The following is a 12,427-nucleotide window of genomic DNA, read 5'->3' as shown; positions in this document are numbered from 1 at the left end:
CTCATATTTGAGAATCTGTGAGAACACTTTGCCACCTAAATTTGTTGTCAAAATTGTTTATCATTCTTTTAAGTTTTGCTGTTCTAGTCGTTTTCTGTTTTAATGGGAAAATTCAGAGATTCACACATAATGTCATTGCTGCCACCAATTTTTCCAGAATTCCAGAATAGACTTATCTTGGGGACTGCATGAAAAGAAGCCTATCCTATTTCTGGCACATTCTAACTACTCCACATTCAATGTGGTTTTGTAGTTTGTGGATGTGTAATATTACTTGTCCTTCAGAATGCAGCAGGTGCTAAGTGGATACAAAATAGGAACTGAAGTCAAGTCTGGCTGGATGTAGAATCTGGGAGAATAGCAATAGACAGGAGTCAATGGTTTAGGAAACCTGCCACAGGGAGAAAAGAGAGACAACCACTACCACCTCCAATATGATGATAATAATAATATAAATTAGAAACTATTTGAATTGTATGTGCCAACCTATTACTCCCGTTTTACAAACAAAAACATTAAGATACAGAGAGGTTAACTAATTTGCCAAAACAAAACGTAAAGGTATTCTATGGAGTCTGGGAATTGCCAGTCCTGACTTCCAGACAGGGAGGCAGTGTTTGTTAGAACGGAGGCCTGGAAGGAGCAAGGGAGGACTCAGTTCTGCTTAAACAGAGCTAACCAGAGGTTATCTAGACAACAGGTGAAGACACATGAAAAAAGATACATAAAGGCAACCTGGTATTAGGCCTGGGGGACCAGGTCAAAAAGCCTAAAAACAAAGTATTCTTTATGCTTAGTGCCATCCTGATGAGCTGAGGTCAGGCAAATAATTTCTATCTATGTCCAGGGTGACCTGAGAGATAAGCAGTGTGGAGGACAGAGTGTCAGGAAATCAGGATATCAGTTGCCATCTTAAACAAATAAGAGGGACATATCACCTGGGATAGAGACAATATCTGAAAGCTTTTTTTTTCGTTTTTGTTTTTTTTTTTGAGACGGAGTCCAGCTCTGTCACCCAGGCTGGGGTGCAGCAGTGTGATCTCAGATCACTGCAACCTCCAACTCCCAGGTTCAAGTGATTTTCATGTCTCAGTCTCCCAATTAGCTGGGACTACAGGCATGGAATTCCATCACAACTGCCTAATTTTTGTATTTGTAATAGAAATGCGGTTTTACCATGCTGGCCAGGCTGGTCTCAAACTCCTGATCTCAAGTGATCCGCCTGCCTCGGCCTCCCAAAGTGCTAGGTTACAGGCGTAAACCACCATGCCTGGCCTAAAATCTGAAAGGTTTTTATCACTAGGCCTAAAATATTCAGATTTTTTTTAAAGCCATGCACACCTAGGGGGCAGATAGAAGCACATAAATTGTTCCCGAGTGAGCGAGCCCAACCCTGTAGGCATCTGCTATATTGTCTTCAAAATACAAAAATGGTCACTGGTGTTTTCTAACAATTCTTAACAAACAAATCTTAACATGTATCTCAATACTAGCATATGGGAGAGTTGAAACTATGGATCTCATCTTTTGAGATGTAAAGGATAATCAAATTTAGGATGATCATGTATAATTTTAAAATCAGAACTTTTCTAAGAACACCTTGAGACCTCAAATATATACTCACAAAGAATGTTGTTCAAGGGAAGAAGTAAAATTTCAGAAAAGATGCAATTTTGTCAACGGTACCATATTACCTGACAGTAACAATGGCTTGGTCATGTCATTAATCCTGAGAAAAATCAAAGCAACCAACAACTAAAGAACTTTATCCATTAAAAATTCTTCACAAAGTCTGTTCCAGAACTTGAATCAAAATAGTAGCGCACACTGGTAGCTCTAAGATCTGGTAAACTTTTTTGACTCATTCATATGTTACATATGTTTGAATATATGGCACAAGGCCAAGATAGTTTTAACTTTAATTGGCTGTCTGCTTTGAGATTTCTATGTTTACACATAATCTTTTATTGCTTGAAAACAATTCTTAATGACACAAACTTGAGGGCATTTTTCCCCCTTGTGTTTTGATGTTTGAAATCAGCAAGACTTTTTCTAAATGTTTCTGTGCATTGCAGCATCATTGGTAGTGTTCGTATCACTTATATAATTTGTTCACTAGCTTTTGCTCCCTCTGCTGGAATGTAAAAGCAAGTAGCAATGAGAATTCCATTTCTAAAAGAGAGAGATATATACTGCCCACGCCCCCACCACCAATCTTTCCGTTTTAAAAACTCATAGAAAATCCATTCTAAAGATAAGACAGTCTAAACTTAAACTAGCATTATTTTACTTTAATTATCCCAACATACGTTTATCCTTCAATTGCATATTATTTTTTATCATTATTTTACAAATGTCAACCTCATTTGTTTTCTCTTTTCTTTGTAAAGACAGAAATAAGCACATTTGCAGTGAATTCCAGAGCTTAATGTTAATATTTCCATAATATGATTGCTCTTGTGGATATGCATTTAAAGCATATTTTCTGTTTAATCTAATTGTGAATAAATCAGAAAGATGAGAACAAAATCTGTATACTGAAACAATTCAAGTTGACTTCACTTATGGAGAACTGGATTTAGAAGGTCCTTGATTAATGACTGTGAGATTCAAAAATTATTGTTATCTGATATCTGAAATCCCTTCCCCCCAAAAGTAAAGAACATAGCAAAATAAACAATTTAATTTATTTGGTGGATAACAAAAACAGTGACAACCAAAATCCTGAGAGAATTGAATAAATGCCAAACTGGCATATAGTTTGTTGCAGCTGTTTCTGCCAATACACATTTAAGTAATAAAATTAGAATGAATTTTAGTTTATTAGAAATATGAAGTTAAAAAAATACAATATTTTCAAGTAATAAAAATAGCTCACTTTGTTCACAGGTGAGTTGCCTAGCCCAACATACTTTAAGGTAGCCATCCAATAAAGGGTGACATATTCTCCTTACACATACACATATTCAGAAACCCTGGGATAAAAATTAGCTACTGAGTCCCCAAGAATTTTGGAAATAAAATGAACAGAAAAATGTCCGCATTTACGTAAGTCACCTAAAATAAGGCTTTCTTGCTGGTCATCCTATTAAAGGGCCAAGAAGACTGTGAATCTATAAATAGATCTGATTACCAACAGAAAGGGTAAACTTTTAAGCGTTTTAGCTTCTGCATTTGGCAGTAACTGATTTTACCCTTAATCTCTGCAGCCTAGCAGCTTCATGGATGTCTATTTTCCATTATGTAAATTTGCTCTTCAGCAATATTTAAGGCATACAATACCAATATAGGCAAGAACTTTAACTACTTACTATGGCTAAAGGATACAAGAGGAAAAAGAAACCCCGAGGTTAAGTACACAATACAAAATGCATATGCTAATGTCGAAACATCTTCAAAGCAACATGCAAATGCAAATTTTAAGCACCAAGAGTTGTCACTTGGCTCCTGAAATCCTCATCTCCTTCATTTGCCCTCAGATTGTGTTCAATTTTAGTTCACAATGTATTTTTTTTTCAGAAAGCCTGTCATAACCCAAAAATTTGGGCTGAGACATTCTATTTTAGAATGCCATTTCTTTCAATCTTACACTTAAATTTACAAGATCAGAACCGAGCATGTTAAATCTACATAAGCTTCAGGGCTAGTTAAGAGAGAATTTAATGCTGCAAAGAGCTCAACTTCCTTATTCCATTATGATCTGCTTACTGAGTCTAAAAGACACATGCTTCATTAACTTACTTAAAGGTTTTAGTTCAAAGCAATTGCACAGCTTTTAACTTCCCATTGGAAACTGCATGTAATTCATGGGCTGGATAAAGTAATATTTCAATTACTTGAGTAAGATGCAAACATAAAATAAATTAAGATACAGATATCTGATATCAATAACTATTGACTTTGGTGATGGTATATAATAGAAAAACTGAATACCATATTTGCCTCTATATATTCCAATACAGCAAGGAAAGTTATAAAAGGAAATTGACAAGGAAACATTTATATTCACCAATACACAGCAATATCAAATAGAGTTTGAAAAATATTGAAGTTAAAAATATATAAATTGTTAAAGCCACCCAATTTCATTTCAAATTCAGTGAGAAGTACAAATGAATATACTGCAAAGAAATATTGTTCTTGTTTTGATGGCAAGTAGCTTGAACACCTGATATTGCTTTGGGACTCTAATTATTTAAGAGAAAGTGCCTTATACATAAGGAAAGATTACCTTTTTACATTTTTCCAATAAAGGTTAATAACAGGCAGTAAGAAGGAAAAAGCTTTAGAAAATGACTGTTGTTCATTAACAGTTCAACTCTAACTCATTATCAAAATGTCCATCTTAAATTATGTATACGTGGCCATGCAAAATTGAATTGGGAGGTAGTGCTTGGTGAATTTGTCCTTCTGTTTCCATGGAAACAGATGCTGGATTGCATTTCTTTAAGGCTAGTTTTAAAGTGGAAAACTACAGTACATTAATACTCCAGAAAGCACAGAACTTAATTTATCTGTTAAATGTATCAGGTTTTTTAAACAGCCGTTATACCATATAACCCATGCAGGGCATCTTTTACTTCTACTGAATTTCTTTACTTGTTTGATTCTCTCTTGCCCTACCCACCTCTGCATCCCTATTTTGGTAGAAAGGCTTAAGAGTAAAGGTCTTTCCTTATTTGACTTTGTATTTTCAACATATAACAAAAGGTTTAGTTTGATATGGTCTGAATGCCTTTATCCAAAATTCATGGTGAAATCTAATCCCCATTGTAGTGGTATTAAGAGGTGCAGCCAAGAGGACCAGTGGCCCAAGAGATAACATGTCTAACTATGAATCAGAAGATTCAAGAGGTGGAGACTTTTAGGAAGTGTGTAAGTCATGAGGGCTTCATCCTTATGAATGGGATTAGTGCCCTTATAAAAGAGGTTGAAGGGAGCTGTCCTGCCCCTTTGTCCATGTGAGGATATATCATTTGCCTCTTTTTCCATATGAGGACTTAGTGACAACATGCCATCCTAGAAGCCTTTATCAGACACTAAATCGGTTGGCACCTTGATCTTGGACTTCCTAATCTCCAGAACTATGACAAATAAATTTATATTATTTATAAATTACCCAATCTAAGGTATTTTGGTATAGCAGCCCTAATGGACTAAGACATAGCTCAAGTTCTTTTTTTATTTTTATTAAATAGAGATGGGTTCTCACTATGTTACTCAGCTGGTCTTGAACTCCTGGACTCAAGCCATACTACTGCCTCAGCCACTTGAATAGCTGTGACCATGGGCACCTGCCAACACACTCAGCTTCATGCTCTTAGTTATTTAATAAAAACATTTTGAATGATTAAAATATAATAAAATCATCTATTTCTCCTTCTAGTTATAAGAAAAAGTGAGCCTTAGTGTTGGACTAGCACGTAATTTATCCTAACTTCAATAGTTAACTAGCTGTGTGACCTATAGGCCAAGCACATAAACTTTCTGTGTGTCAGTTTCCTTATTAACCCTGCGATAATAAAATCCAAGTCATGAAAGTTGTTCTAATTTCTACGTAATTCATCTAAAGCACCTAGAATAACTGTTGGCATAGGAAATCAATAAATGGTAGATATAATAAGTGTAACTACTGGTAGGCTACTATTCTTGCCAGGCATTGGGCTAGATGTTTTATGTCTTCAGTCATCACTATAACCCAGTATTATTATCTTTATTCTGTTGACAGAGGTAGTAGAGAGGATACTTAATGCCACTCAAAATGAAAGCTGTAAGGCTAGGATTTGAACCCTCCTATGCTTGACTTCAGGGGCTGGAATGTTTTCAATACACCATACTGCCTCTTTTAGATGCTATGAAAGGCTCAATTCCTCTCTTTAAAATCTTTTCCTAAAGTATTTCTACAGATTAAAATATGGTCACCTGATCCATTTAGAAGATAGCTAATTTGAAATCAGTAGTTTGTACAAAGGAATTTGCCCACACTATATTTTATTTTTACATTTTAGAAAGTGAATTAGGTTTCCTTGATATAGTGCAGGACAGCATAAAATTGGATTTTTAACTTGGAACTAAACATCTAATTCTGTTACAGAGCCCTGAGTCTTTCTCAGGAGTCACCTTGGTGGCCCCAGAGGATTTCCAAAAGTCCTCTTTGCTCATTTCTGTCCTGTTATAGCCCTTGGTCATTCCTCCTTTTAGAAAAGGGAATCGATGTTTACTAATGATTTGGGTCCACTGACAACAGTGACAGAAACATTTTATAAGAAGAACAGAAAAACTCCTTTCTTCTGAGGATATAGTCAGGTTCATGAATGTTCAAACAAATTTTCAATAAAGTGATAAGGGTATTAAATATTTTATCAGAGATCTTCAGTGATTTGTAATAACTAACATGCAAAGACTATTCTATTTTAAAAAGCACTGTAGTATATTTTCTGCATTAAATATAAATCCCTGTGAGATCAGTGCCAACATGAGGATGTTACACATTTGAAAATGATAGCAACAATACCTCCTTCTCCAATAAAAACAAACAAAAAAATACTTTGAGGTACGGGACTAAGTGACTAGTCTAAAGTCATACACTTAGAAAGTGGTAAAATCAATGCTATTACACATGAAATTTTTCACTACATTATTCAGATGAAAGTTAAATATATGTAAATCAAGCTCTATAGAGAGATATTTACATGGCTAATGAGGAAGTGGAGACTTGGACAATAAGGCATGAATATGGCACTTAAATCAGTCATTAAAAACGATTCAGCTAGGGTTCCAGTCACCTCAAGTATTTTTTTCTTTCATTTTTTCTAGTTAATTGTAAGTAAGATATGTTTATAAAGTTACAGAGCATTAAGGCAGATGACCCAAAAAAGTATTAGATTAAACCATATACATTTTCAGATATTCTACCATTATGGTCTACAACAATGGCATTTTAAATCTAAGAATATGTTTACTTGATAATTATTTCCTAAGTGCATATTTATTGCTTTTATTTTTGTTGTCGTTGGAGTCTCACTCTGTCGCCCAGGCTGGAGTGCAATGGCGCGATCTCGGCTCATTGCAAGCTCCACCTCCTGGGTGCACACCATTCTCCTGCCTCAGCCTCCCGAGTAGCTGGGACTACAGGTGCCTGCCACCACGCCTGGCTAAGTTTTTTTTTGTATTTTTAGTAGAGACGGGGTTTCACTGTGTTAGCCAGGATGGTGTCGATCTCCTGGCCTCATGATCCGCCTGCCTTGGCCTCCCGAAGTGCTGGGATTACAGTCGTGAACCACTGCTCCCGGCCTATTTATTGCTCTTGAAATGCTTTAATCACAACCAATATTAAGGTAGCTTTGATTCCTATTCAGTGGAAAATTATCAATATGGAGGATATAATTCATAAAGGAAATATAATTCTTGTTTTGACCAATTGAGATATATATGCTATATAGGAATATATTATATATAATCATCAATCTATGAGATGAATACAGGAATATATTATATATAATTATCTATAGTATGAATATATTATATATTATACATACATTATATACAGTTTGTATAGTTATAATGAAGTCATTTTTGTATTTCAAGATAAAATAGATATGTAGAAAAGAATGGTGCAGATCAATGGTTCTCAGAGTGTCTACAACGTCAATACCACTTTTGTTATAGTACCAAGATATTACTTGCAGTTTTCACTTTCACATTCTCCTGAGTGTATAAGAGTTTTCTAGAGGCTATTGTAATAGACTGCCTTGTATTGCAGCAATAGATGGAATACCGAAGCACATATGACAATCCAGCTATCTTCTATTAAGCCAGACATTAATGCAATTTACAAAAATACAATCAATGGTACTCTCTTATCATTACTTGATTTTGCTTGGAAAAAATATATTAACTTTTCAAAAATATGTTACTTACATTAACATGTAATTGTTTATTATATAACGTTTAATTAGTAAAAAATGGGTTTTAAAGTTCTCAGTTTTAATTTAAATACAGTAAATATTAATAACAGTTGTAACCCACATGAACAAAAGGTGTTTGGGGTACACAGTAAATTTTAAGAACGTAAATGACCAAAAGCTTTAGAACTGTTAAAAAAATTTTTTTTTTGTTCAATGTTAAAATTTCTGCTCATTTTTATGATTCCTTATGATGAAGACTTCATGGTCCTTGAAATATGAGAAGTTGTTTAAAACAGATCTAATTAAAAATCCCTTACAGCATTTTCATAACATAAAAAATACTGAGCTCCTTAGAAATTGCTCCATTTGCAAAATATATTTATAACTTAACCAAAATAAATAATTCATACCTCACCAAGTGAGTAATAACGTCTTGGGATCTGGGAGTCCGGATAGATGTTTTCTAGGTACCAAGAAAAGGGCTTACACTTCAGATTTTCTCTTAGTGTTTTTCTGACTGACACATCTCCATAATCCACTTTGACAACACCTGGAATTTTTCAGAGAAACACAAATCAGTTTGTGCTATTTTTGTTTTAGTACTGTTTTACTACATTTACTTTGCTATCAGTTTTCTTCTTCATAATTCCAGCAAATTCAATTGCATATGCAGCTGCTACTCCACTGGATTTTTACTACCATCGAATTAGTACATTAAATAGATATAAATAACACTTCTCCCATTGGTTATGACTTTTCAAATACAAATATTTATCACCAAGTACTTGTACTACTTAGATTGAATAATTAATTAACTAAATGTAAATTGGTATTTAGTATCTCATAATCAAAGCTTAACTGAGCTGTGTAATATGTCTGTTTCTCCTTAATAAAAAATTCTAGTAGTGCCAATGTTTTTGTTAATATTCACACTTTCCCTATAGAGTCACTTATTCACCACCTGTAGATTTTATACGAAATTTATATAGAATAATTCACGTAATAGACTGTACATATGTTCTTTTTCTTGAACTTCTATCTAGTTACCATAAACTTAATTTTTATTGATTTATTGAGTTATTCTAAGCTACCATTGTCCTTGAAAAAGTTAGCAAATATCTAAGTGTAAAGAAACTAACAAACAAATGAACAGAAATATATTCACATGTATATATGAAAAATGATTAATTTTATTTCACATAATAGAATATTTGATATTTAAATGAATATTTCCACTGAAAATCAGAAAAGAATGTTTTCTAGTTGAGGAATAATAATGCTACTAATTTTTATAAAAAATTTTACGACAACTTGGTTTGCTCAATATTAATATTGGCATTTGATTGAAATAAGTAATAACTGTGACAAGACAGCAATTATTCTTAGAATATTCTGAAAATATTTCAATGTTTAACTTTCTTCTTTAAGGCCACTATGCAACATGCTGGCACAAAATGGCCTAGTATTTAGGATATTCTATCCCAACCAAGTAACAAAGCCAGCCAATTGTTGTCTAAAATAGAGCAAGTGTTTAGACAATCTAAATGTCTTTAACTAATGCCATTACCAAGCCACTATTTTCCAAAGCAGCAACACTCAAAACTCATCATTCACTAGCTCCGACCTTCTTGTCTCTTCAGAACTTTTGTTTTTTCAAAATTAAATGCCATAGTGTTATTAGAAAGCATTCTGATGCTGAAGCAGCCAAACCATTTCCTTCCAAGAGAAAATATTGATTTTCCTAGCTGGTGTTTGGGCAGAAAAAACAAGGTCTTTGGGCTTTTTAAACAGATAAATATTTGCTTTCGAAATAATTCTATTCAGAACTTCCAATCCGGAATGCAACCTTCAAAATAAGAAGCTCAAAACAATTTAGTATTTACAAAAATAAATCACTAGAAGAATTTCTCATTATGTTAAGTATTATTACAGTTGAAATAATTGAATACATTTTCCTCAAAATCATATAAAGAGATGACATTGTGCCTGGTGGGGAGGCAAAACACTGTATCTTCAGAGGACTTAATTCAATAGTCAATTTTACTGTTCTGTTTTCATTTTTGAGGTGGGTGGATTTAATTGAGGTGGCTTATTTAATATCAACATCCTCCCTTTTTCATCATGTTAAGATTTGGTAGTTCTGGCTCCATAACATCTTCCTAGAAGGGTTTCTTTGTGCATGTGTTTTCCAATAAAACTTTATTTATGGACAATGAAATATGAATTTCACATAATTTTCACGTCATGAAATACTATTCTTTTGACTTTTCCTCAAGTACTTAAAATCAGATCTTGGGTCATTAAAAAATGGACAGTGAGCTGGTTCTGGCACATGGGTCACAGTGGCCAACCTCTGCTCTAAAAGATAAAGTCCTAGAAGGTTTTTCTGAGCAGTTATCTGATTGAAATGAAAATTTAAAGTTTCATTTGCATACCTTTTTTTTTTTTTTTTTTTTTTTTTTTGAGACGGAGTCTCGCTCTGTCGCCCAGGCTGGAGTGCAGTGGCGCAATCTCGGCTCACTGCAAGCTCCGCCTCCCGGGTTCACGCCATTCTCCTGCCTCAGCCTCCCAAGTAGCTGGGACTACAGGCGCCCGCCACTACGCCCGGCTAATTTTTTGTATTTTTAGTAGAGACGGGGTTTCACCGTTTTAGCCGGGATGGTCTCGATCTCCTGACCTCGTGATCCGCCCGCCTCGGCCTCCCAAAGTGCTGGGATTACAGGCGTGAGCCACCGCGCCCGGCCTTGCATACCATTTTATATGAGGTCAGAGAAAACATTAATTGTCCACTTCAGATTTGGCAAAAAGTGGCTAATGGGGAATTATAGAGATTACTGAATAAAGCAAAAGCCTTCTTATCCTGCCACCTCTAAGCCGCCCCCTGGCATTTCCACTGCAACTTGCTTTTGTTCTAATCCTAGATAATTATGCTAAATTACCTTTAGAAATGTACAAAAAAATATGGTGGGCTATCTTAACATTTTGGTGAGAATGGCTTTTTCTCTCTGAATCCATGTTTTTCTTCTTAGAAGTGAGACATATTAAGAGACAACAGTCCTCACAAACACTCCATGTACTCCTCCACATTTCTCAGGTCCCTGCAGTTAGGTAAGGACATCTAACTGGTCCTGGCCAACAAACTGTGAGAGAAAGGGGTTATGTCACTTCTGATTTTAAAGATAGGAAAGCAAGTATGAGAGCTTTCTTTTCCTTTGCCACAGGGACTGAGGAGGACTTGTATCCCAGTGGGTGCAGCTACAAGATGGAGAGACTTTTCTTGTGCTGTATGATTTAGTGACTGTAGAGCCTGAATTAGATTATTCAGATCCATGGTTTGATATGTAATCTTACTTGTTCCCCAAACTCTTATCTGCAACTCAAACCTCTTCAAAGTAGGTTATCCAATTGTTTACCCAATAATTTTACTGGGATCTATACTAAGCATCTCAAATTTGACAAGTCAAAAATTTGTTTCTCCAACTTGCTCCATCTCCAAGGTTCTTCATTTCAGTATCTAGCACAAATATCCACTGATTTTCTCAAGGAAAAACAAATAATTTTCTTTCTCTCGCACATATACATTTTTAACTCATTAGGAATTCCTGTTGGCTCTACTTCACAATATATCCTCAGCCACTCTACTGTTACCATCCTGGTCCTAACTTCTCCTATCTCTTGCTTACACTAGCATTGCAATAGTCTCCTAACTAGCCCCAAAACATTTTACATTCCTCTACCTATATTTTATTCACTATTGCCTGTTCCTTAGTCAATATATTTAAAATACAAATCAAATCATGTTACTCCCCTGACCAAAAGTGTACCGTGATTTTCCATAACACTAAGAATAATTGAATCTGTCTTAACCATTGCCTGAAGATCCTTTAGAAAATAGCTCTTGGCTGGCTTTTTGAATTCATTTATACTCACTTTGAAACCAGCCCAATTGTCCCACAGAAGTGATGTTTATGGTTTCTTTTGAATAAACATGAAAGAATGGCCCTCCTGGTCTTGAAACTTGAGAAAATTACATTTGTCTCATCTAAGTTCCTTTCTCAGGAAACCAACCAGATAATATAAAGGAACTGAAACTTACCAGATCACCGCATCTGGACAGTGAGACACCAGACCCCCTCACCTGTCATGATTGCCTAACCACCTGTTTCTTGTTGATCAATTCCTCTTCCTTATCCCTAATTCCTAGTTTCCCATACATGGTTACATTTCTTCCCTGCTACATCAACCCCTAATTTTGGTCAGTTGAAGAGATGAATTTGAGACTGATTTCCCATCTCCTTGGCTGCAGCAACCTATTAAAGCCTTCTTCCCTGTAAATACTGGTTGTCTTGGTGATTGACTTCCAGTGCAGCAAGCAGCAGGACACAGACAGAACCCCTGTGTTTCAGTAACATCTTCATTCTAGCCCCACTTTTTTTCATTCTTTACATTTCTTCAAACATCCCACGTTCATTCATAATTCAACAATTCAAGGCTTTATACTTCTTTTTTTCTGTCTGTAA

At 35.1% G+C, this 12,427-nt stretch overlaps 1 protein-coding gene across 20 annotated transcripts in view, besides 1 other annotated feature; it reads right to left on the bottom strand.

Annotated features, from left to right (window-relative positions):
• Positions 1 to 12,427, bottom strand: part of GALNT13 (polypeptide N-acetylgalactosaminyltransferase 13) — a 1,388,282-nt gene that overhangs the window by 52,127 nt on the left and 1,323,728 nt on the right. For 19 of the 20 annotated variants that reach the window (XR_007069045.1, NM_001422882.1, NM_001422883.1 and 16 more), the window contains one exon: positions 8,318 to 8,457. The exons of the other annotated variant lie outside the window; for it this stretch is intronic. Coding sequence is in view for 18 of the 19 variants with exons in the window: in NM_001422882.1 (NP_001409811.1) it covers positions 8,318 to 8,457 (140 nt within the window). In the remaining variant the exon portion in view is untranslated. The remainder of the gene's footprint in view (positions 1 to 8,317; positions 8,458 to 12,427) is intronic. 20 annotated transcript variants of the gene reach the window in all.
• Positions 3,116 to 3,660: an enhancer, noted in NCBI's record as "OCT4-NANOG hESC enhancer chr2:155257300-155257844 (GRCh37/hg19 assembly coordinates)". NCBI's record gives its function as "activates a minimal SCP1, AML or CMV promoter by ChIP-STARR-seq in primed H9 embryonic stem cells {active_cell/tissue: H9 hESC(primed)}" and the evidence as "EXISTENCE:reporter gene assay evidence [ECO:0000049][PMID:30033119]".

The sequence above is a fragment of the Homo sapiens genome, chromosome 2 (genome assembly GCF_000001405.40).
Source record: "Homo sapiens chromosome 2, GRCh38.p14 Primary Assembly".
Classification (NCBI taxonomy): domain Eukaryota; kingdom Metazoa; phylum Chordata; class Mammalia; order Primates; family Hominidae; genus Homo; species Homo sapiens.
The sequence above is the reverse complement of the archived record's forward strand: the minus strand, read 5'-3'. Positions and strand labels throughout refer to the sequence as shown.